This window comes from Homo sapiens, chromosome 17, assembly GCF_000001405.40.
Source record: "Homo sapiens chromosome 17, GRCh38.p14 Primary Assembly".
NCBI lineage: Eukaryota > Metazoa > Chordata > Mammalia > Primates > Hominidae > Homo > Homo sapiens.
This window is the reverse complement of record NC_000017.11, coordinates 59,686,228-59,711,399: the sequence shown is the minus strand read 5'-3', so window position 1 is coordinate 59,711,399 and position 25,172 is coordinate 59,686,228. Positions and strand designations below refer to the sequence as shown.

The window sequence follows — 25,172 nt, the reverse complement described above, 5'->3', positions numbered from 1 at the left end:
GAGACACAGCAAGGGCACTTGGGCAAAAACAGGAATGACAGTAGCACCTAGAACTATCATCTCCGAGAAAGACTAAAGAGACTAAAAAGTTTGTTAAATCAATGGAACCAAAAAAAAAGAGTACCCAACAATGCAAAGAATTAACTCTTCTACAATGGCTATTTACCCAGAATAAAATAACTAGAGAAATGGCTCTATATATAATAGATAATTAACATAACAAAATATTAAAATTACAAACAGCTTGGGGAGGTTTTTTTTTTTGTAAGAGCAAATAATACAGTTCTCTCCTACTGCTTTTCTTTTATTTTCTTCTCTTTTTTTTTTGAGATGGAGTCTCGCTCTGTTGTCCAGGCTGGAGTGCAGTGGCGCGATCTCGGCTCACTGCAACCTCCGCCTCCCGGGTTCAAACGATTCTCATGCCTCAGCCTCCTGAGTAGCTGGGATTACAGGCGTCTGCCACCACACCCAGCTAATTTTTTTGTATTTTTTGTAGACACCGGGTTTCACCATGTTAGACAGGCTAGTCTCAAACTCCTGATCTCAGGTGATCTTCCCGCCTCGGCCTCCCAAAGTGCTGGGATTACAGGCGTGAGCCACGGCGCCTGGCCAGTTCTCTCCTACTCTTTAGCAACAACATTCACAGTAGACACGTGTTAAGGCTCCTCCGTCATTTCCACTTGCCAGAAAGATAACTCAACACATGACAGTCATGAAGCATGAACTCAGACAAACTATTCTGAAGAATATAACTGATTTTCTTTCCTTAATCTATTACACTTCAAATCTAGCCAAGCACAGTTTTTGTTATGCTACAATTTATAAGACTAAACTAGCTAAAGAGGGAAAAAAAGTTTGTAAATAAGGCTTATGTGCGTATGTGTGTATTTACGTGTGTATGTGGATAGATCCCTTTAATACCTAAGAGTAATTATTTTCATGTGAACTTGGAAATATTACCAAACCATAATAAGATGCCTGGATACAACCTTGTTAGAACAGAAAGAACACTTGAGACCTTACAGTTCAGGTTCTAGCACTACCTAAGCCAGATGACCTCAAGCAAGCCAATTACTAATTACTGATTGTTTCTGAGCCTTAATTTTCTCCTCTGTTAAATGGGAATCTACTTATACATTCACAGAGATTCCTTCTAATTCTAAATATTGGTTTCAGTGAAATAATAATGTTTCTTTTTTTTTTGAGACGGAGTCTGGCTCTGTCTCCCAGGCTGGAGTGCAGTGGCGCAATCTCGGCTCACTGCAAGCTCCGCCTCCTGGGTTCGCGCCATTCTCCTGCCTCAGCCTCCGGAGTAGCTGGGATTACAGGCGCCTGCCACCACGCCCGGCTAATTTTTTGTATTTTTAGTAGAGACAGGGTTTCACTGTATTAGCCAGGATTGTCTCGATCGCCTGACCTCGTGATCCGCCCAACTCGGCCTCCCAAAGTGCTGGGATTACAAGCGTGAACCACCGCGCCCGGCCCAATAATAAGGTTTCTTATTTAATGTAAGTAAGATAGGACTACTTCTACTCTTTAGTTAACTATACGTAGGCAAAAAACTTCAGCTTTTTCTGCACTTGGAAGTTCTGAAGTGACAATACATGACGACCAAAAAGGATCAGATTTAAACTCCCGAATGCAAAACTATACTCATTTTCCAGGAACCTATTTATTAACCATGGTGACTAATTCAATGGATCACGGTATCAAACTATTCTTTGCTAACTTTCAAAGGTGGGGCAAAGATCATCTCAGAAAAGTATGTGATAATATTTTCAGATAATGATGCAAAGTAACAGTATTCTACACTGACATATCTCCAGTTCTAAGAGTAAAGTGATACCATATTTTCATATTTAATAATTTCATGTTTACTAGCTCATTTAATCTTTGTGACAGTTGTATGAAAGAAAGTGAGCAGAATTTTTATCAACACAATCTAGACCAGCTCAGAATGTTAGGTAACCTATCAGCCATTACTTAACAAGTGTTGGAGCCCAGACTTCAATCCAGGTCTTCTGATTTAAAGTTTAATAGTTACCAAAATCCTAAAAAGTGGTGATTCAAGCCAAAAGCGAGAAGTTGGAAAAGTGAGAAAAACTGGATAATCAGTCCTTCAATTGAACATAAAGAAGATAAGATCAGATTTGGCAGTTATATAATCAAGAAGCAAATTTACCGAATGTTAAACTAATGATACATCTATCATAATTCCATATCTCAAATTTTGTCACCTTGTTTCAAAGCCAAGCGTGAACAAATTTTCAAACTCAAAATAAGAAAAATATGTAAACTGACAAACTGATTTAACTAGCTATAGGTAAACTGGTAAAAGGCATCATGGTTCTATGTATATTTTCTTCTGGAATGTGACTCATAGAAATTAAACTGTATTAATCAATTGTAATCAAGTAGGATATATCCCTCAAAGGAAAAAAGTAACCTTCAGTGCCTTAAGATAATGTAGGCAAAGTAGTAAAATATAAAATTTCTACTCGAGAGAGTCACTTCATACCTACACAAATCAGTCACATTTGTCTAGGTACCACCATCCCTCTTCCACAGTAAAAACATAAGCTACAATGCATACAATGATGCCTAGTAAGTAAGTTTCTTCCTTTCATCATCTATGCTAAGAATACACAACTAAAATCAGAGCTAATGACAATACAATTACTAGGTAGTAGCAACTGGAATATTAAATTCTATCATGACAACACCAGAAACACTTGTACAAGCTTCTTCAAATGATCAATGTAATCTGTCCACAAAAATCTCTGACAAGCCCCAAAGTAGAAATGAAAGACGTTAACATTAGGATAAGGAGCGATGCTGCCAAAACACATCAACAGTGGCCAGTCTACGTGTATTATTAGATTTTTACATGGAGTTGCAGGTAAATAAAAGATGATTGTGTAAAATCTTCTGGAGGTCATAAGTAATCTAGCAGTGTGACACAGGGCCACATATGGTTTCTGGAATTTTAGAGATTAAGTCGACCTTCACGTTTTACTGCAAATACCTCCACTGTAATAAGATATAGAGGTCGGGGTTCAGGGGTTTGGAAAGGCAGACAACTCTTTTTCATTAAAGCAGTGAAAAATCTGAGAAGTTCCTCTCCAAGGGCTCTGCGGAGCGAAGGCCCATTCCCTTGGCTACCCTGTACCACCAGAGCTTTAGATGGCACTTGCACGCCTGGATTTCGTTTAGGAGCGAATACATCTAGCATCATGCGCCAGAGGTTCGGGAGAGCAAAAACCAAACTGACAGATCCTGAGAAATAGCTCAGTCATCAGCAGGGAAGACCTTCTCCACTTACTCCAAGGTCCTGGACATCCCGGGACTAAGAGGTTCTCTAAAGAAGCCTAGCAAGGCTTCCAAGTACGCGGAGAGGAGAACGAACAGCCCGGTGTCTGGGTTCAATGTCCGGGTGACCAACCATGAGAAGGTGTCCCAAATAACCTGGCTACCGCCAGCGTGAGACATCCAGGGTGAGACATCCAGTCAGCAGCGTCCTAAAACACTGCTGGAAGTCGGAATCACAGTGCCCCAGATCCGCAATGCCTAAGTGGGAGAGCTCCGGAAGACGCCAAGCTCTGAGGACAGCCTCAGGCTTCGGTCCCCAATTCCCTGAGTTAGTTTACCTACCCGCTCCGACCCCGGCTGCTCCGGATCTCAGGATCCTGGAAGCTGCTCCTTACGGACTCTCACACCCGCCGCTGGGCTCCAGACAACCGGAACCCGCTCACGTCACTTCCGGTCCGGTCCCTCTGCCCCCTGAGACAGCCTCCAGAAGGGATACGTTCCTCCCTCCTTTCGGCGAGCTCGGTTGATCCTCGCGGGATTTCAGTTAGGCTCTTAGTGCGGGCCCTGTGGGTGTGGCAAGAGGAAGAATGACTGCTCGCTTTGTGATTCTTGATCCGGAACTTGTCACCCAGGAACCCCGGAAGAGGTAGCTCACGCGATAGAAACGTGTTCGCTGCCCAGAAGAAGGGAAGGCGCGAGTGAGGAAAGGAGGTACTGTAGGTAGGTTGGTTGGCTCCTTACAGGGCGAAGGAGACCAATATCATTATTCATTTTCTCGCCAGTAGGAACGTTTCTTTTCACCTCGTTGCATTACCCACCTTCTTCATTTTCTCCTTTATAAACTGTCTTCCGCCCAGGGGCCGCTGAGCCCTCTGTTCCTGTTCTGCGAACCGTCCTTTGGAGGAAAGGAACAGGCTGCTGGGGAGGGGAAGACTCAGAATTTCTAGTTCCCAGCAAAGCCTCCAGGCAGGCAGTATCGATGCGCTCTCTCCGAAATTGATAAAATAGCGAGCAGGCCTCATACCCTCAGCTGGGCACTTATGAATATCCCCAGCGTTTCGAGCTGTCGAGCTCTGCGTGGAAAGAATTGGTTTCTAAGAATATAGTCGAAAATTTGGGGCCGGGCGCGGTGGCTGACGCCTGTAATCCCAGCACTTTGGGAGGCTGATGTGGGCGGATCACCTGAGGTCAGAAGTTCGAGACCATCCTGGCCAACATGGCGAAAACCCATCTATACTAAAAATACAAAAATTAGCCGGCGTGGTGGCGCGTGCCTGTAATCCCAGCTACTCGGGAGGCTGAGGCAGGAGAATGACTTGAACTCGGGAGGCGGAGGTTGCAGTGAGCCGATATCGCTCCATTGCTCTCCAGCCTGGGCGACAGAGTGAGACTTCGTCTCAGAAAAAAAAAAAAAAGAAAGAAAAAATTTCCCCCCTTTTTCACACAAAGAGATTAACTAGAGAGGTATTAATCCTTACTGACATACCCCAGGCACCATACTAGACTCTGGGAATATGTTATACAGGGAAAGTGGGGCAGTGGCTTAAGGGTCAGAGAAGATTTGGGAAAGGTTTGTTTGTTTTTTTCGGTTGTAAACTGCAGACCCGGCGCGGTGGCTCAGCCTGTAATCCAACACTTTGGGAGGCTGAGACAGGAGGATTGCTTGAGCCCAGGAGTTTGAGAACAGCCTGGGCCACATAGGGGGCCACATAGTGAGACCCTGTCTCTTAAAAAAAGATTAACGGGTGGAGCATGGTGCAGAAGGAGGTAATGGGATCAAGAGCACTACTGAAATGGGTTTACTGAGGCAGGGGAATTAGAAGGCACCAAGAAGAAGATTTTATAGGATGTACTTATTTTGTTCTGCTGTCATTGCCCAGAATTATTTATGAGACAAAGAATGGTTATTTGTTTTACCTTAGTCTTAGGCACTAGGCTTATTGATACGCTTGTCGTAAGTGTACAGAAAAAGAGACAGACATGTTGTTTTAGAGGAGTTAGATGATAATCTGATCAGATTAATATGAGATTAGAACATCCTAAAGAACAAAAATATGTGTTAATTTTAGCATTTTTATGATTAGACACTCCATTGAGATATGGGACATAATAAATAAACTTGGTAACTTTTGGAACTTTCACTGTCCTGTTTTTGATCTTATTGGGTTTTTTTTTTTTTTTGGAGACAGGGTTTTGCATTGTTGTCCAGCCTGGGGTGCAGTGGCACGATCATGGCTCACTGCAATTTCCACCTCCCAGCCTGAGGTGTCCTCCTACCTTATCCCCTGAGTAGCTGGGAGTATGGGCATGTGGCACCACATCTGGCTAATTATTTAAATTTTTTGTAAAGATGAGGTCTCACTGGGTTGCCCAGATTGGTTTTGAACTGGACTCGAGATGCTGCTGCCTCGACCTCAAGCAACTCCTTGAGGCCAGGAGTTCCAGACCAGCCTGGGCAACATAGCAAGACCAAGTCCATACAAAAATAAAAAATTTTTAAAAAATCAGGAGGGTGTGGTGGCATGCACCTGTAGTCCCATCTACTTGGAAGGCTGAGGTAGGAGAATTGCTTAAGCCCAGGAGTTTGAGGCTGTAGCGAGCTATGATCATGCCACTGAACTCTAGCCTGGGTGACAGAGGGAGACCCCTTCTCTTTAAAAAAAAATAAAGAAAAAGGCAACTTCTCTGTTTGATCCTCATATTTCTCATCTTTAAAATGAGGCTAATATATCTTCCTTTTTATGTGTTCATAGCAACAATAAATGAGGTAATGGATATAAAGGATTTAGTATGTTATCCAGCACATAATAGCTTCTCTATGTAGAGCAGTTCCTTCTCCAGATAGTACCGGAATGTAGTGTATGGGATATTTGGTTACTTTGCAGCCTAGAAATTATTTCAGAGAATCCTAATTGCTGACATTGCATATTTGTTCAGTTTGGAGTCTGGTTGTTAGATTATCAAAGAAAAGTCCTGCTGATATGTAAGCATCAAATAGAAACTTGGCCAGGCATGGTGGCCCATGCCTGTATCCCAGCACTTTGGGAGGCTGAGGCAGGCAGATCACTTGAGGTCAGGAGTTCGAGACCAGCCTGGCCAACATGGTGAAACCCCGTCTCTACTAAAAATACAAAAATTAGCCAGGTGTGGTGGCGGGTGCCTGTAATCCCATGTACGTGGGAGGCTGAGGCGGGAGAATTGCTTGAACCCGGAGGCAGAGGTTGCAGTGAGCTGAGATGGCGCCACTGCACTCCAGCCTGGGTGACAAAGTGAGATGCCGTCTTAAGAAAAAAAAAAGAATTCTCTGTCTTTGTCTCTTTTAGGGGGTGGGGGCTGTAAAGGCACTAGAACCATAAATACTATGTCTGTGCAGCCCTGTCACCGTATTTAGGCACTTGAGTGGAAGAGCACTGAAACTAGGTGCACTACAGCTTACCCTATGTGACCCTCCTACTCCTGGCCACTCCATGTCAGTCTCCTTTGATTCCTAATGTTCATTTCCTCAGGATTATGTTTTAGTCCTTTCTTCATTCTACATATTTGTCCAAGTGGCCTCATACTCTTCCATCTCTTCAGTAACTTCAATTATATGGTAAGGTCTCTCAAATCTATATTTCCAGCCCAGACCTTTCTGACTTTAAACTGATATATCCTAGACCTTTCTGTCCTTTAAGCTGATATATCCTTTTTTTTCTTCTTTCTAGATATCTCTGAGATGTCTTTTGTTCAGAACAAAACTAATTCATTATCTTTTCCATTCAAACCTGGTATTTCACCAAAATTCTCCATTTGTTCAAATCTAGCTGTCATTATTAACTTCTCCCTTTCTTTTGCCACCAGACTTCCTGTCAGTCACTAAATCAGACAGGTGTACCTTAGACACTTTTTTTATTTCTCATTCCCACTACTGTTGTCTAAATGACCATCATCTCATCTAGACTGCTGGGAGAGGCCTGATATAGTAATGTTAAGAACAAGGGCTCGGCAGGGCATGGTGGCTCACGCCTGCAATCCCAGCACTTTGGGAGGTCGAGGTGGGTGGATCACCTGAGGTCAGGAGCTCGAGACTAGCCTGGCCAACATGGTGAAACCCCATCTCTACTAAAAATACAAAAATTAGCCGGGTGTGGTAGCACATGCCTGAAGTCCCACCTACTTGGGAGGCTGAGGCAGGAGAAGCACTTGAACCCCAGAGGTGGAGGTTGCAGTGAACCAAGATTGCACCACTGCACTCCAGCCTGGCAATAGAGTGAGACTCCGTCTCCAAAAAAAAGAACAAGGGCTCGGCAGGGCATGGTGGCTCACGCCCGTAATCCCAGCACTTTGGGAGGCCGAGGTGGCTGGATCACCTGAGATCAGGAGTTTGAGACCAGCCTGGCCAACCTGGTGAAACCCCGTCTCTACTAAAAATACAAACAATTAGCTCGGTGTAGTGGCGGGTGTCTGTAATCCCAGCTATTTGGGAGGCTGAGGCAGGAGAATCACTTGAACCCAGGAGGCAGAGGTTGCAGTGAGCCGAGATTGTGCCATTGCACTCCAGCATGGGAGACAAGAACAAGACTCTGTCTCAAAAAGAAAAAAGAACAAGGGCTCTGGATTAAGACGACCACTTATGAGCTGGGTGAATTTAGGCAAGCTATAACTTGTGTACCTCATTTTTCTACATCCGAAAAATGGGGATCATAATTATATATAGATGCTTCTCAACTTAGGGTGGGGTTATATCCTGATAAACCCATCATAAATTGAAAGTACCATAAATTGAGAGCCAGGCACAGTGGCTCATGCCTGTAAATGTAGCTACATGGGAGGCTGAGGTGGGAGGGATCATATGAGGCCCAGAGTTCGAGACCAGCCTGGGCAACATAATGAAACCCCTGTGTCTTAAAAAAAAAAGTTTTTTTTTAAATTAGCAGTGTGTGGTGGTATGTGCTTGTAGTCCCAGCTACTGGGGAGGTTGAAGTGGGAGGATTGCTTGAGCTCAGGAGTTCGAGGCTGCAGTGAGCTATGATCACTCCACTGTATTCCAGCCTGGACAAAAGAGTGAAACCCTGTCTCTTAGAAAAGGAAATAGAAGTTGGAAATAAATTTAATACACCTAACCTACCAAACATGGTAGTTTAGCCTAGCCTACCTTAAAGGTGCTCAGAACACTTAATTTATTAGCGTACAATAGGGCAAAATCATCTAACATAAGGCCTACAAGTGTTGAATATCTCATGTAATTCGTTGAATACTGTACTGAAGGTGAAAAACAGAATGTTTGTATGGGTAAAGTTTCTACTGAATATGTGTTGCTTTTGAACCATTGTAAAGCCAAAAAGCTTAAGCGAAACTACAGTAAGTCCATGACCAGCTCTATTTACCTTGAAGTGCTGTTAGGCACATTAAAGAAGACAATTCCTATAGAGTGTTTAGCCAGTGTGTAGCAGAACACTTCATAAATGTTAACTATTACTACATTATAGCAGCCTCTGAAATGATCTCCCTGTATCTATTGCCAACTGCTAGTCAAGGCTCAGGTATCTTTTAGAACAGGCGTCCCTGTGGCCTGTTAGGAACTGGGCCGCACAGCAGGAGGTGAGTGGTGGGCAACTGAGTGAAGTTTTATCTGTATTTGCAGCCACTCCCCATCGCTAACATTACCTCCTGAGCTCCGTCTAATTAGCGACAGCATTAGATTCTCATGCGAGTGTGAACCCTGTTATGAACTGCCCATGCGAGGGATCTGTGTTGTGTACTTCTTATGAGAATCTAATGTCTGATGATCTGTTACTGCCTCCCATCTCACCCCCGATGGGACTGTCAAACACCTTTTTATAACATTTACCAGTCTTGCAATTATTTGTCTTCACTACTTATCTATGAACAGCTGACAGTGGCCCATATTCATCACTATATCCTCAGCTTAACAGGGTGTATGGCTGGCACATAGATAGCCAGTAAACATTTGTTTTATTGAACTTAACTTCTCTTGGTCTGAATTTCTTCATTTTTGATATGGCAGTAATCCTCACTTCTCAGTGGATCAAATAACAATACATGTCAAAGTATTGTGGAAATTTTGAGCTATAAAGACAAAGTTTTGGCCGAGCACAGTGGCTCACACCTGTAATCCCAGCACTTTGGGAGGCCGAGGTGGGCGGATCACGAGGTCAGGAGATTGAGACCATCCTGGCTAACACGGTGAAACCCTGTCTCTACTAAAAATACAAAAAAAAAAAAAAAAAATTAGCCGGGTGTGATGGTGGGTGCCTGTAGGGAGGCTGAGGCAGGAGAATGGCATGAACCCGGGAGGCGGAGCTGGCAGTGAGCTGAGATCGCGCCACTGCATGCTAGCCTGGGCGACAGAGCGAGACTCCATCTCAAATAGACAAACAAACAAACAAAAAAACCCCAAAGTTTTAAAACAGCATGAAAGAAATTCAAAATTAGGATTGGACCATTTCAAAACCATTGCTAAAATGTAAGCTTCATTAGAGAAAGGACTTTTTCTGCTTTGTGCACTCCTGTATCCCTTAGATTCTAGAACAGGGTCAATCAGTATTTGTGGAAGGGAAGCAGTATATCATAAAACTAAAAGAATTGAAAAAGTAGAAAGTAGTCACACTTCTATTTCAGATACCCATTCCTATAGCTATGTTCTTTGTAATTGTTCGTCTCCAAAATCAAAACCCTATGCATCGCTCTAAGTCTTTCCAGTTTACTTTCATTACACCTGTTCTTCAACAGCATGTCTAGATAAATAGCATGCATCACTTTATTGTCCATAAATCAGTCTTTGATAATACAGGTTGCTTTTTATCAGGTAGGCCAAAAGAGAAAAATGTAATAACACAGGTTGCATGGTCTATCATGTCAAACATTCTTACCCTTATCCTAAATTCCCTTGTACCACTGTGTCTTGGGGCGTGCTCCTGGCATAATTTAAACTTGGATACATCCAACTACCATTTCAGTAGGAGGGGAGAGCAAAGGATGAGTGTGGATGGAGGTTAGTTTGTATGTCTGGAGGAAGTGATTAGTAGTTTTAGTCTTTTGGCTTCTAAGTACTACTGGAGAAAATCACAAATAGTATGTTGCCATTAAAAAGTCATCATTAATCTTAACCATGCTTTCAATATTCCTCTGCAATCCTGCCATATTTTGCCACACCTTTTATTTCCGCCTTTCTCTTCTCTACTCCATTTTAACTTCTGTCTGAGCTCCTTCCCTCAGGGGGAATACTTTCCTGCCTTCAAATCCGTGGACCTACTTGATTTAAAACTGAAATTGGGAAAGGTGTCCCTTTTCCTTTCCAAAACCACATCCCTTTATAAAGTCTTTCTCTATCTTGAGCATTTACCTGCCTTTCTTCTGGCTTCATCCTATTAACATTTAAATATGCTTATCCTTTCTTCTTAGGAGAAAAAAAAAATTGCTTTCCTCTGTGTCGCCTTATATCCATTGCTTTTTCTTTTTGCTCTATCTCTTGACCCCACCTCAAACGAATTTCTGCCCCACCAAAGACAGTAACCCCTTTTATGTTAAAATTAGTGGAAAGAATGTTAATATAATGCCCTAACTTTAAAGAAGAACATAAAGGAAATTTATAAGTACTTCCAGGGCTGTCATCTATGCCGTGCCAATCATGCAGTGCACAATTCCAAGGGCACCACTTTACATTACAAATACAGTGCATTACAAATATAGTGGCCCCATGTTTATAAATGCTTAGATAATACTCCACTAGAAAAAGAAACTGATAGTTGCTTGCCACATAGAAGCACTGTGAATCCAGCAGCCTCATTTGTAGACTGATATAAGTGTCTTATTGGTGACTCAAATATTATGAACAGCTTTGCCGAAGTAGCAAGATTTTCTAAAATAATAAAGGATGACATTCCTTTGTTTTATGATAGCTACACTTCTGGAAAATTCAGTATGGACAGTCTCCGACTTAGGATTTTTCAACTTTAGGATGGTGTGAAAGAGACACCCATTCAGTAGAAACTGTACTTCGAGTTTTGCATTTTGATCTTTTCCTGGCCTAGTGATAATGTGGTACAGTACACTCTTGTGATGCTGGGCAGCGGCAGCGAGCCACAGCTCCCAGTCACCCATGTGATCACGGGAATCAACAACCCATCCTCTACCGTGTACTGTGTTGTCAGCTTTTTTGGATATTGTGTTTTGTGTTTTCACATTCCATCATGTCTACAAAATGTCCATCAGTGTCTCCTGTTTCTGGTGAGATGAAGAAGAGGAAGGCAATTACTCTTGAAATGAAACTCAAGATAATTGCCCAGCATGAAGGTGGCAAGCCAGTAATGGCCATTGCACGTGAGTTAGGACTTTGGCAATCCACGATTTCAACCATCTTAAGGGATAAGAAGCAAATCAGTGATGCAGCGAAATCGTCAGCATCAGTTAAATCCACTGTCATCACAAAGAAAAGGGCTGGACCAATTGATGATATGGAAAAATTACTTGTTATGTGGATGGAAGACCAGATACAGAAGCGTATACCACTTAGCCTACTGATGATCCAGGCTAAGGCAAGAAGTCTTTTTAATATGCTAAAAGACCGTGCCAGTGATCCTACATATACACAAATGTTTAAAGCAAGTCATGGATGGTTCCAGCGCTTCAAAAGGCGTCATAATTTTCACAATGTAAAGATCACTGGTGAGGCAGCACGTGCTGGTAATGAAGGTGCCATAGCTTTTAAGGAACAGCTGCATAGGATAATTATGGCTAAAGATCTTTGCAATAAGGAGCTGATTGCACTGGAGGAAGAAAGAGGTAAAGGCGTTGAGGCAGTGGAAGAAGTTACACCCACGGCACCTAGAAAGTTCACAGCAAAGAAACTGGCAGAGGCATTTGCTGCTATCAGCAGTGGCCTACACGTTAGAAGAAATGGACGTCAATTACGAGAGATTCGCCACAGTTGACAGGCGCAGATACAGGATGCTCTTGCTTGCTACAGAGAAATATATAGTGAAAAGAAGAAACAAGCTGTACGGTCAAAACTTGGTATCTTCCTGAAGAACAACACTATGCTTGCTAAACCATCAACTAGTGTTGATGTCCCAATGCCTTCTACCACCTATTCTCGATGTTCATCAGAAGAGAGAGAAATTGAGGACCCTGTTGCATCCCCATCATCCAGCAATTAATTCTATTTCAGTGCTTCAAACATTTTTCAGGACCACTGTGCTTTCAGCTGTGTAAATTAATGGTGAGTACCCATACAACCATTGTTTTCCACTTACAGTATTCAATAAATTACAGGAGATATTCAACACTATTATAAAAGAGCCTCGTGTTAGATGATTTTTGTCCAACTGTAGGCTAATGTAAGTGTTCTGAGCACATTTAAGGTAGGCTAGGCTAAGTCATGATATTCTGTAGGTGTATTAAATGCATTTTTGGCTTACAGTATTTTCAATTAATTGGGTTAATTGGGATATAACCCCATGGAAAATTGAGGAGCACCTGTACATAGTAAAACTATGCAAAAAATATTTTGTGTTCTTAAGTAAAATGATGTTGAGTTCTCATCTCAGTTATTAAGTTTTTCAGCTGCACTCACGTCCAATGGGACAACTCTTCATTTTGTAAGGTTTTTAGCATCCTTGCTCAGGCTTAGTAAATTTCAGTAGTGCACCTCACTCCAGGCCCATTAATGTGACAGTGAGGTTCTTCTGAGGGTAACTGATTTGATACCATCTCCACTGAGAACCACTGCATTGTGAAAACACCGATTAGCACTGTATTCCAGGAAAGGGTTATTTTTGGTTTCTTTAAATCTTAGGCATCTTGGTAAAACGGAACATCTCCACAAGACTAAGGGAAGACTGAGGAATAGAGTTTTTGAACTTTATGCAACTTCGTTTACATCAAGATTCAAAATGACCTAAACTGTTTCATGTGGATGCTTGAATCTTTTCTAGTACACTGGTGGTGGGCAAGAGGGTGTTGGAAACAGGGTGCAGGCATAAGATCAAAGGTGTGTTTTGCCTTTTTTCTGGATGACCATTAAGTGTATAGTCAAAATGTTTCTCTGATAAGCCTATACCTCTGTAAGTTGTTACTGCCGGATAGTGATAACTGTTTTCCTTTCCTTTAAGATGCCCTCCAAATCCTTGGTTATGGAATATTTGGCTCATCCCAGTACACTCGGCTTGGCTGTTGGAGTTGCTTGTGGCATGTGCCTGGGCTGGAGCCTTCGAGTATGCTTTGGGATGCTCCCCAAAAGCAAGACGAGCAAGACACACACAGATACTGAAAGTGAAGCAAGCATCTTGGGAGACAGCGGGGAGTACAAGATGATTCTTGTGGTTCGAAATGACTTAAAGATGGGAAAAGGGAAAGTGGCTGCCCAGTGCTCTCATGCTGCTGTTTCAGCCTACAAGCAGATTCAAAGAAGAAATCCTGAAATGCTCAAACAATGGGAATACTGTGGCCAGCCCAAGGTGGTGGTCAAAGCTCCTGATGAAGAAACCCTGATTGCATTATTGGCCCATGCAAAAATGCTGGGACTGACTGTAAGTTTAATTCAAGATGCTGGACGTACTCAGATTGCACCAGGCTCTCAAACTGTCCTAGGGATTGGGCCAGGACCAGCAGACCTAATTGACAAAGTCACTGGTCACCTAAAACTTTACTAGGTGGACTTTGATATGACAACAACCCCTCCATCACAAGTGTTTGAAGCCTGTCAGATTCTAACAACAAAAGCTGAATTTCTTCACCCAACTTAAATGTTCTTGAGATGAAAATAAAACCTATTCCCATGTTCTATGGTTGGCAGTTGTCATCTTGGGCTTAAAAACAGTACTGTTGGTTAAATGGTCTTGGTGGTTCAAGTGAGAGGCTGAAACAGATATTTAAGATGAGAGAAACAGGTCATGATACAATTGGATTAAAATGGAGGAAACAGCATTTCCCTATACATGGTTAGGTCCCTTTGTGTTGGTAGCCCTTCCCCAAGACTATGCTGCTGTCCCCCTGGAGGTCGAGGTTCAAGGGTATTCCCACTAGAGGCAAGCTGCAGTTTGTTCCCCTGCTGTCACTTTTTGGGTGACTGATACAGCCACCCTCAATGGAGTCCCATGGTTTATAACCTGTTTAAATTTTGTCTCCAGGTTGAGTTTTATAGCATTGATACAACCTACTGTGCAGTGTTTCATGTTCACCTTCCCTGACCCATACTGGCCAAAGGTTAATCAGCAGTGGTTCTAAATCACAGCCTATTAAAGTTTCTCACTTCCCCCCTTTCTTGTAACAATGAAGCCACTGAAACTTGAGTAACCTTATGGACCTTAACAGATGGAAATGGGTGGGCCCAAGTAAGAATTTATGGTAACTGTAAAGTGAACGTAGTTTGTCATCCCTGCTAGTATTTTTTCCTAGAACTAACTTTGACAATTAAGGGTGCCTTTTTTCCCTTTTGATCTTTAGATACACTTGATACAATCCTAATAATTACTATGTTATACCAGTTACCCAGAATATGAGGCAGAGGGTCCCAACTCCCCAAGCCACATAGCTTCCTGATAGTCATCTTGTTAGAAACTATTTAAGCCTTCTTTTAGGAGGATACTGACAGTAATTTCTAAAATCAGTGTATCCCCAAGAACTGTAATGATGCCAGGGAGAATTTTGGTAATAGGCCCATTTTAAGTGGCTCCACCTCTCTATGGTTAACTGCAATATAAGCAGCGTTATAGCACCATCTCAAGGTCTAAGGTCATTGGTGGAGTATTGTGGGCAGAACACTAAAGACAGCCTTGAAATTTCTAATATTTGATTCATTTAATACACTTCGCACAGGCATATGACAGCACAGGAGAAAAATTGCAACTGTGAATGATGCCACAATAGCAACTATTTCTAAACAGAATGTTTACTGGCTGCAAAAGTGATGCAACAAAATGCAACGTTAAGACTGAGTTGAACTCAGTGCTAAGTGCATGATTCTGGCTCAGGTAATTTCTGAGGTTTGCCTCAGATAGACTGATGGCTCCAAATTCAAAGGTAGTGGCATTCCCAACAGGATGGCATGGGGTGGCTAAGTAACTGTCATGGCATATCTACTAAAAGGAATACTATGAAAATTCTGGTAATTGTGGATATATGCTTGTTTTCTAGTTCATCTGTACTTGGTATTTTATAGAACTCATAATCTTATAGTTTTCAAAGTATACTCTGCAGAACCCACAGGGTCTCCACAGAGTCAATGTTTTCATAATACTATTATTATTTTTTTTTTCTCTGTGTTGATATTTGCACTGAGGGTGCAAAAGCAGTGGTGGGGAAAACTGATGGCACCTCCCACAAATCAAAGCAGGGGCACCATTGTATTCTTCACTGACCTGCACTCACATTAAACACTTTCACTTAATGTCCTGGATGAAACTAAATAGGTTTTTTTGTTTTTTGAGACAAGAGTCTCATTCTGTCACCCAGGATGGAGTGCAGTGACGTGATCTTGGCTCACTACAACCTTTGCCTCACAGGTTCAAGTGATTCTCATGCCTCAGCCTCCTGCCTCCTGAGTAGCAGCTAGGATCTTATAGGCATCCACCATCACACCTGGCTGATTTTTTATTTTTAGTAGAGATGGAGTCACCATGTTGGTCAGGCTTGTCTCGAACTCCTGGCCTCAAGCAATCCGCCTGCCTCAGCCTCCCAAAGTGCTGGGATTACAGGCATGAGCCACCACACCTGGTGGGACAGGGATTTTAAGTTTTAAAAAACTCTTCTGTGGAGCTTATGTTAGGTAATTTGCCTAAGAGAGTTGTAAAGCAGTGCAAGACTAACTAGGCAAGGGGGTATGTGTAGCTATTGAGGATTAAGGGATAGTGAAATGAACTTTAGGAACATTCTCAGCCATAAGCAAGAGCTGGATTCACACAACCAATTTTTGAAAAAAATCAAGATACCCATAATTTGGGCACCTTTATAATTCATGATGAGAAAGAGCATGTTAACTACATGTTTAAATATATTTTATTTCAAGTTAATATAACAGCCATGATTTGTTCATTTAAGTGAAATGCTTCGATAAAAACCTCGGTGTCACTTGGTTAAAATATTGGAGACAGATTAAATGTTAAGCCACTATAGTAGTGACTCTGGTTCTTTAGACTATTGCATGTACCTTGTTAATGAACTACAGGAATGCACATTGATATAATGCACAATGTCTTCACATGTCTCAATCCTCATTCCTCTTCCTTTCATGCCTCCCTAATGCCTCAGTATCCAATATAAAACTACAAAAACTACTGTTCTTTTCGTTTGAGTGGTATTTAATTAAAACTTCAATTCTATGTTATTTCCACAGTCCAGTAATTTATTTTAAATTTGAGTAATTTCAAATTCCACAAACAAAACTGAAGAACAGCAATATTTTGTTTGAATTTCTCTCTTCTGTACACTCAGTGATCTAAAACACCACAATATCCAACATACACAAACCTCAGGGAAGGGTTAGTAAACACACACAAGATTGGAATCATGGTGCTCTTTGCTCCTGAATGGAATGGTCCCACAGAAAAAGCACAGGATACAGCACAACATAAGGGCACCTGTTACATATGAAGTGAGCAAAACATACTAGCATTTTCTATATGCATAATGGGGAAACCTGCATAGGTTAGAGGGCCTTTTACGCTCATTTAAAAATCAGGCAAGTTGTCTGTAACATTTTTCAATAATCTGGGAAGCACTGCAATCCAGTGTACGATGTGCTGATTAGTGTTGTCTTTGTTGGCACTGACAGTCTTGCATGGTCATATGCCAGTGTTTTTGCTTTAGCTTTTCTTTGAATAAAACAGATTTAAATGCATTTAGACAATACGTATTTGTAAGCTGTTTACATACACTAAATTTAAGAGATTCAATATTAGAGTTTCTTTGTTTCTTTAAACACTACAGAGTGCAAATCAGGTTCTTCACAACAGATTGAATATTGAGCAGTTCTTTAAAGAAAGAGGGGGAAGAAAAAAAGCCCAAGTGAATAAAACATTGAAACTATTCCCCTTCGAAAATAAATTCTAAAATGATGTGGAATGTGAAATAAGGTTTTAACATAGGTGATCCAAGTTTATAGTTAGAAACAAAAAGAAGTCCTTCATGAAATAAAGGTTACAAGAACACGTTGCCTGTTTTCCCCCATTATAAACTGAGAAGTGGGTAAAGACGATGTTTCAGTACGAAAATAGGTGACTACAGGATCAGCGCTTCATCTCACATGCTGTACCCAAAGCCAGGCTGTGGCTGTCCATACGGTGGTGCGGTATAACCATAACCAAAAGGTGCCTGGGGAGGGACGGCAACACTGGGTCCTGCTGTCAGCATCAACTGGGGCTGACCTACAGTAGAAGAAAACAAAAAGGAGCAGGGGGCAGGGGCAAGGAGGCAGGACAAACTGTTAGCATTTAGAACACTCCAATCTCCTCCACTCTAGCAACATAATCTCAACCTCAAATGAGTTGTATGGGGGGCACATTTGATTGCTACAATTTTAGCATGACAGTCTTACTCTAAGAAGGTTCCTACCTAAAAAGCCAACAAACAGTGCAGGGCCAAAGGCCAGAACTGCTTATGACTGAACACCGTATGCCTGACACTCTGTATACTTGACACATACCTACATGCATATTACACTTCATGACACAATAAAATCAGCACAATAAAAGAATTTTTTAAAAGACTTTTTAAAAAAAAAAAAAAAAAAAAGAATCTGGCTCTGTTGCCTAGGCTGGAGTGCAGTTGTGTAATCTCGGCTCACTGAAACCTCTGCCTCCTGGGTTCAAGTGATTCTCGTGCCTCAGCCTCCCGAGTAGCTGGGATTATGGGTGTGCGCCACCATGTCCAGCTAATTTTTGTATTTTTAGTAGAGACAGGGTTTTGCCACGTTGGCCAGGCTGGTATTGAACTCCTGGCCACAAGTGATCAGCCCATCTTGCCCTCCCAAAGTGCTGGGATTATAGGTGTGAGCCACCATGCTTGGTCTAAATGACATGTTTTTAACATAACTTTTAGAGTTACATTTAAATTTCTGATTTAAACATGTCTAAATGGCAATGAAACCAAATTCATTTATAGAAGATCCAGTACTAATTTAGAGACAGCAGTTAAATTAAAAATAAGACACATTTGGGCCGGGCGCGGTGGCTCACGCCTGTAATCCCAGCACCGTGGGAGGCCGAGGAGGGTGGATCATTAGGTCAGGAGTTGGACACCAGCGTGGCCGATATGGTGAAACCCCGTCTCTACTAAAAATACAAAAAAAATTAGCCGGGCGTGGTGGTGCATGCTTATAATCCCAGCTACTCAGCAGGTTGAGGCAGGAGAATCACTTGAACCCAGGAGGCAAAGGTTGCAGTGAGCCGAGATCACGCCACTGCACTCCAGCCTGGGTGACAGACGAGACCCCATCTTGGGGGAAAAAAAAAGACATATTCAGACATTCTTTAGGTATGAAATACATTAGAACATACACCCTCTATCAAATACTATGTTGACACTCTTTCTTATAAAGTTTAAATAGTTGTTGGCCATATACAGAAAACATGACCTGTAGAGAACTTGGCTTAGAGAGCGAAAACAAGTAACACCTCTCTCTACCCCTACAAAAGTATTTTTAACATCCCACTACAGTGTAAACCTAGATCAAGATTTCTCCTACACAAAGGACTTCATGTCTTTGCTTTTTGTGGTTAACAACCAAAGCTGTCTTCAGCAAACAAATTATTATTGGAAACCAGTTTATTATTATTTTTTGAGACGGAGTCTCGCTCTGTCGCCCAGGGAATGCAGTGGTGCAATTTTGGCTCACTGCAGCCTTTGCCTCCCAGGTTCAAGCAATTCTCCTGCCTCAGCCTCCCAAGTAGCTGGGACTACAGTTGCATGCCACCATGCCCAGCCAATTTTTGTACTTTTAGTAGAGATGGGGTTTCACCATGTTGGCCAGGATGGTCTTGATCTCCTGACCTCATGATCCGCCCACCTTGGCCTCCCAAAGTGCTGGGATTACAGGCGTGAGCCACTGCACCCAGCCAACAGAAACCAGTTTTTAAAAAGTCATCCCTAATCTTGATAATGACATCTACTTGAAATTCCAACCCAATTTTCAACTACCCATGAAAACACCCTGAAGGCAAGCCAAATTCAGTAGGTAACCCCAAAGTATTACACCCATCTTTTTTTTGTTCCTACTGTGTTTCCTATGTCTTTTTCACCTTTAAGGACTTGATGTGTTTCCTATCTCAAACATGTCAAACATCTTGCTCCCATCTCTAAGAACCCACTTTATCAAAACTATCCTGTCCTCTAAATTCCTAAAGTACTTTTTATCTACAGTAAAAAGGAGACAAAACCATAATAAGTGTATATATTATTATTTGTGTCAGTAGCCTGATATATAATGGTTATATATATATATATGTATATATATATATATATTTTTTTTTTAAGGCGGAGTCTTGCTCTGTCACCCAGGCTGGACTGCAGTGGCACGACCTCGGCTCACTGCAACCTCTGCCTCCCGGGTTCAAGCGATTCTCCTGCCTCAGCCTCCCAAGTAGCTGGGACTACAGGCATGTGCCACCACGCCCGGCTAATCTTTTGCATTTTTAGTAGACACGGCGATTCACTGTGTTAGCCAGGATGGTCTCAAGCTCCTGACCTTGTGATCCGCCCGCCTCAGCCTTCCAAAGTGCTGGGATTACAGGCATGAGCCACCGCACCCAGCCATAATGGTCATATTTTTATGTTCCCTCACCTGGTTATTGTGCTTCTACCTATACTCTTCAAAGTGATTGTTCAAATGAATCTGTTCACCAACTATGAAATGGAAAGGAGCAGTAATTCAGACATGTAGGTTTAAGAAGACATGAAATTGTCTTAAATATTCACTTGAGAGTTTGAAGATCCTATCTCTCTGGAAAGTTCTCAAATGGAAACTCTACCCAGTTCTCTGCCCCAGTTAGAATTTAAAATGAGGATGTATTCTTTATGTAAAGCATACTAAAGACAGCCTTGGCATGTTCTCTCACCTTTTGCTCTTTTGAAAATGGAATTCATCAATATTTCTTTTTCAGTAATTTATGAGCAGGTAATGCGTGAGGGACCAGATGATAGGAAAGATTCATGTTATGATTTTAAATGACTATTTTTGAGTTTTCTTGTATTTAAGATTATTTTAGTGAATAATATCAACACCTGCTTTATGACTTCTCAGAAAAAAAATCAGACAGTAGAGAGCAGTATTTCTTAGAAAGCCTTTTGCACTTTAGAAGCTTGTTGTATTCTATTTTGAGGCACAGTCTCTAAGTAATTAAATATTTGTCTAATGAATTTTTTGAGGTTACAGAGAGAGATTACCATAAACAATGGGTTGTGTCTCTGTAGCTTGTTCTTCTTCTTTTCTCAGTGATTCTGAAGCATCTAATTTATCCACCTGGAGAAAAACACATCATGTTAATTAGCACCCCAAAAGTATTATAAACCTAGGTTTATGGCAGAAAGTGGAAAAGCCTTAGTATGTTAAATTCTGTCAAAATAAAACAGACTAGAAAGAACATTCTCAGTCCCCCTCAAATTCAATGGCAATGTTCATACTTCAGTCCAGGTGGTTTTCAGCACTGTCATTATAAACCCTCAGGAAGGAGGGATTCAAAATGCCATAAAAGCTCATGCCAGACTAAAACTGGGCATGCTAGGATGCAGCCTGAGGGAGGGAGAAAACGAGAAGGAACCACTTTTCAAATGAAGTTTAAAACTGATCAGAGGTAATAATGAATTCATGGTCTGGCAATACTTCCCTCCCCAAAGCAAATGGTATTCAAAAAAGTGAAATGATCCTAGTGACTGGACAAGTATTTGGGCAGAATAAGCTATTCTTTTGCCAATTGTGTATAACTTCTGATGATATTGGTTATAGCTGCAGACTGAAGTTTAAGATTCAAGTGGCTCCATATTCAATCTTTTTGCATAAAGAAAGGCTGCATGTTTTAATACTGTGTGGGCTCTGTTATCTAAGAAGTAATCAGGAAAGCCTGATTTTGTCCCAAAAATGTTTGCTTTTAATTGAGCCAAAAGTAAATGGCTACTATATGCTAGCTACTCTTCAAAGTGGATAGTATCAGACAGAAGTAATTCTGTAGAGCAGGCCAAATGTATTAGTGAAAGAAAGGAATTAGAATGCCTGGATCCTTCCACTAACTAGTTGTGTGACCTTGGCAAACCATTGCACTGGCCCTCAAATTTCCTTTCCTATATAATGAGAAGATTGAACAAAATGATCTGCAGTTTCTTCTAGGGCTAACATGATTTGATTCTGTAATTCTGTAATGAATTAGACAGAAGTGACATTACAACCCTGGGACTAGAGAATCTCCTTCACTATACAAATTCCATTGCGCCTTTTACACTATATTTGTCTTTCAATATTTAAAAGCTGGTCTCTCAACCAAAGCCTTATACTTGGTCTGTCATTATACCTAAGTAAAACTAAATTTCAAATCTCAATGTTATCTATTACTGGTGGTTTTCAATGTCATAAATGTGCTGCATGAGACGGGGGGCCAAGGTGCAGGGGGAAACACTTTATGAATGCTCACTGCATGTTCTTCAAAAAGGCAAATTATGAAAAATCACTCAAAAAAAAAAATTGTAGACTTCAGTGGAAAAGTTTCTAAAAACCAGGTCCTAAAAAGATTAAGGCAGCACCTCATTTCTGTTTGAAACTATTAAAAAAGTATCTTTCAGTCTTCACATAGGCCATTAAGGTTAGGGCACTGTTTTATATTTAATTGTTTCATATTAAATACCATAAATATGAGTCTAATCCATCTTAATTTGTTAGGGAACTGAAAGTTTGAGAAAAGTAAGCCTAAGTAGGCTCCTTCAGATGAAATGTGGTTTAATTTCTAGCCTAGGAAGATGGATTAGTTTACTTTTATACACTATTATCCTACTTTATAGTCTAAATGATGTGTTACAAATTACCCTAATATCAAATTAAAGACTATTATGTAGTATAAGTACCATATGAAATGTCCATTTTTTGGCATCCACACTTAGAACAAAAATTATTAGTTATAGAACTTAAAGCACAGCTCTGTGCCATCAAGGATCAGATGGGGTTTTGCTAACTAACCAGTATTCAAGAAAGAGCTACAGAAGTTATAAAGAAAAATACATGGATGCCTGTATATTAGTAACTTCTAAGAAAAAAGAAGAAAAATGAAACAACCAAAAAGCCACCACTGCATAATACATTTCCGGACTTCCAGGGAAAAGAATCTGAAGTGAACATGTGTTTAAAAGTTAAGGTCTGAATCAGATGTTGAACACAGAAGTCCTATTAGAGAAACACATGGAAGACTTAGAAGAGCTGGCAATATCACAATGCCCTGGCATACACATAGGAAGTTTGGGCGTAGGGGGAAGAATTCTGAAGGAATAGCATCAAGCTAAGCAAAAAGTTTGATTCTTCTATATAATGGGACAGCCTCTGGCACAGGGACTTTCAATTTTTGTTTCCACTGATCCAATTTAGATTGCTCAAAAAAAAAGCAGAGAAGTCTTTTAAGAACACAAGCTTTTGTTAAGAGCTGTAACTAAAGTTTCTGATCCTTGGATTTAAAAAGAAAAATTACAGGTAAGCATGTCAATGAATTCAGTTCCATCTGTACTACTGAAAATTCACTAAAATGTAAAAGGCTTTTCCACAAAGACTGCAATGTGCTGCAGAGGAAAAGTAACATGCAGTCAGTTATTTTGGTGTATGTGTGCATGAAAAAAAGGCAAAAGTACTGAAGCAAGAAGTGAGGTCTGAAGATGACTTGCTATACAGGCTCTCAAGAAACACACACAGCCCACAGCAATGCTATAAGAGTTTCAAAAATAGTATGATGTAATTGCAATGACTGTTGTACATGCTTCATTTAAAACAATGCATAACACTGCAGTTCAATTACCTGTTTTTCACACACACGCTTTCTAACTGCCTTGCTTACTAGCTGCTGAAGGGTCTCACACACAATGCATTTTACTCAGGTTTGCCCTAAGTTCCAGTGGTGATTCCAGTTTGGTTCAACATAATCCCAAGGCATTGTCCCCCACCCAAATTCTTTTAAATTTGTTTCAACTCTCCTTTACCTTCCCACCCTTTTCTAACCACAATTTGATAACAGACGTAAGTTTGTTTCATTTATATTGGGATGGAGACAAGCCAATGAAGGAAGCAGCAACCAAAAGGTGCCTGAATTTGACATCCTTGGACAAGCCAACTGATAAATAGGAGAGCAAATTTTAGGTAGCTTCAGAGGTATGCCTTATTACAGAAAGTAGAAGTTAATACTTTGTTAAAAATAATTCATGTTGCTTAGCAACAATTATAGCAAGCTTGGCTCTCATGATTAAAAAGGTTTTGATTCCTCTTAAAAATGGACTAGCACCATAAGAACTGGACACCTGGAGAAACATGAGGAAAGTCTCTTCGGAAGCAGCTAGTATCTCTCGTATCTACTTTCAGCAAAAAATTAGTAAGAATCAAGAGATCAGAAACTGGATCACAGTCCTTCAATACAAAAAAAAAAAAACCCCAAAAAGCCTTTTAGGGCATGTATATATACATATATAAATTCGACAACTGTCAGGCAAGCTCACAAAGTAAAACCAGAGGCTGTTTTAATTTACTTCAAGGATTATGACAGTCCTATTATGGTCCAGATACCCTGACAGGGAAGAGAAATTTCCTGTTACTTTGAAATTAATATGGAAACTCACCATACTCAGTTTTTCATAATATATTTAAGAGAGACTGTGAACCAACTACTGATTAGCCTCCTGCCCTTCCTAAAGCCTATTAGCCGATTAGTAGCAAACGTCTACTAATGTCCTACAGCTCTATTAAAGTTATGTTTCAAGGGACTTGCAGAGGCTTTAGTGAAAATTTATTGGGGGGAAAAAGCAGCAGCAGCAGTGTAGAAGAGGAAGGAAAAACATCATGCAAATTCCTTAGACTTAGTCCTCCAGACTTAAAGATGTTAAAGAATCAACTTTCACCTTTTCCTTTATTGCATCAACCTGCAAAGGAATTCAGAAGGTGCAGCTTAGAAAAAAAATCAATTCCATATTGAGCATAAAAAGGTAGAATCAGCAACAAAGGTTTAGGGAAGAAACATCTAACCACTAAAAAGGTATGAGAGAAGTGAAAATAAAGGGCATACTGGAAGCAAAATTTAGAATTTTGTGTAACTTCAAAGCTTAATGCAGAAGAATTTATGCTACAGTATGAAAGAAAGCAGCTTAATCACTAGAAAAATTTACAGCACTTAGGTTAACAGCAGCTTAAAGACAGGTCTCACAAGTTGGCATTATGTTTAAGAAGCTATTCTCATCTATGGCTAAGATAAGGCAACATGTTTTTTCTCTTACATTGAATACAGAAAATGTTAATTCTTTAAAAACTTTAAACAGACACAATGGTATCTAATTAAATGGTATCCTGAGGAAAAATTCAGTATGGGAGGGGTTGTTGGTAGCGCTTCTTCACCCTCCCATCCCCCCAACTCAGGCAGGCTGAAGGAATCAGATGTGAGACTCTGATTTTAATCATGTTTTTTGCTTTGACGAAAAGGATCCTCTAAAACCATTTAAAAATGTTCTACAGAGAGACAGCTAGTAACTGCTGAAGATAGGGTGAGTAAATTCATACATCAAAAAAGGACACTAAGACGAATAGTGAATGTTATAAGGCAATTAGACCCCCAGCTTGTTTTTTTTTTCCCATGTTCACCTCCTATGGTATTTTTAAATCAGGGGTTAAACTATCAAAAAAATTGTGAAGATTAAAAGGA

The 25,172-nt window shown here is 40.8% G+C and overlaps 3 protein-coding genes across 15 annotated transcripts in view, besides 5 other annotated features; 1 reads left to right on the top strand and 2 right to left on the bottom strand.

Annotated features, from left to right (window-relative positions):
* The window catches only part of VMP1 (vacuole membrane protein 1), a 134,602-nt gene extending 130,856 nt beyond the window's left edge, over positions 1 to 3,746 (bottom strand). For 9 of the 10 annotated variants that reach the window (NM_001329395.2, NM_030938.5, NM_001329397.2 and 6 more), the window contains exon 1: positions 3,652 to 3,746. The gene's annotated coding sequence lies outside the window, so the exon portion shown is untranslated. Of the gene's footprint in view, positions 1 to 3,322 lie in introns of all 10 variants that reach the window. The other variant, NM_001329394.2, reaches the window with a different exon arrangement.
* Positions 3,501 to 4,156: an enhancer, noted in NCBI's record as "NANOG-H3K27ac-H3K4me1 hESC enhancer chr17:57784605-57785260 (GRCh37/hg19 assembly coordinates)". NCBI's record gives its function as "activates a minimal SCP1, AML or CMV promoter by ChIP-STARR-seq in primed H9 embryonic stem cells {active_cell/tissue: H9 hESC(primed)}" and the evidence as "EXISTENCE:reporter gene assay evidence [ECO:0000049][PMID:30033119]".
* Positions 3,641 to 3,700: an enhancer, noted in NCBI's record as "active region_12514". NCBI's record gives its function as "activates an Ori minimal core promoter by ATAC-STARR-seq in GM12878 lymphoblastoid cells {active_cell/tissue: GM12878}" and the evidence as "EXISTENCE:reporter gene assay evidence [ECO:0000049][PMID:35858748]".
* On the top strand, positions 3,970 to 14,092 carry PTRH2 (peptidyl-tRNA hydrolase 2). Of its 3 annotated transcripts, NM_001015509.3 has the most exons (3): positions 3,970 to 4,029; positions 11,211 to 12,529; positions 13,422 to 14,092. In NM_001015509.3, the coding sequence occupies exons 2-3, from the start codon at positions 12,527 to 12,529 to the stop codon at positions 13,959 to 13,961; spliced, it is 543 nt and encodes a 180-aa protein (NP_001015509.1). In that variant the 5' UTR covers positions 3,970 to 4,029; positions 11,211 to 12,526; the 3' UTR covers positions 13,962 to 14,092. The 3 variants fall into 3 exon arrangements, with proteins under 3 accessions (NP_001015509.1, XP_011523189.1, NP_057161.1); XM_011524887.3 differs by lacking the exon at positions 11,211 to 12,529 and having other exon boundaries at positions 3,970 to 4,020; NM_016077.5 differs by lacking the exon at positions 11,211 to 12,529.
* Positions 7,111 to 7,614: an enhancer, noted in NCBI's record as "H3K4me1 hESC enhancer chr17:57781147-57781650 (GRCh37/hg19 assembly coordinates)". NCBI's record gives its function as "activates a minimal SCP1, AML or CMV promoter by ChIP-STARR-seq in naive H9 embryonic stem cells {active_cell/tissue: H9 hESC(naive)}" and the evidence as "EXISTENCE:reporter gene assay evidence [ECO:0000049][PMID:30033119]".
* Positions 7,615 to 8,119: an enhancer, noted in NCBI's record as "H3K4me1 hESC enhancer chr17:57780642-57781146 (GRCh37/hg19 assembly coordinates)". NCBI's record gives its function as "activates a minimal SCP1, AML or CMV promoter by ChIP-STARR-seq in naive H9 embryonic stem cells {active_cell/tissue: H9 hESC(naive)}" and the evidence as "EXISTENCE:reporter gene assay evidence [ECO:0000049][PMID:30033119]".
* CLTC (clathrin heavy chain) overlaps positions 14,444 to 25,172 on the bottom strand; it is a 77,062-nt gene continuing 66,333 nt past the window's right edge. For both annotated transcript variants that reach the window (NM_001288653.2, NM_004859.4), the window contains exons 31-32: positions 20,689 to 20,764; positions 14,444 to 17,672 (exon numbers count right to left, since the gene is read on the bottom strand). In NM_001288653.2, the coding sequence (NP_001275582.1) occupies positions 17,548 to 17,672; positions 20,689 to 20,764 (201 nt within the window). In that variant the 3' untranslated portion in view covers positions 14,444 to 17,547. The remainder of the gene's footprint in view (positions 17,673 to 20,688; positions 20,765 to 25,172) is intronic.
* Positions 14,649 to 14,698: an enhancer, noted in NCBI's record as "active region_12513". NCBI's record gives its function as "activates an Ori minimal core promoter by ATAC-STARR-seq in GM12878 lymphoblastoid cells {active_cell/tissue: GM12878}" and the evidence as "EXISTENCE:reporter gene assay evidence [ECO:0000049][PMID:35858748]".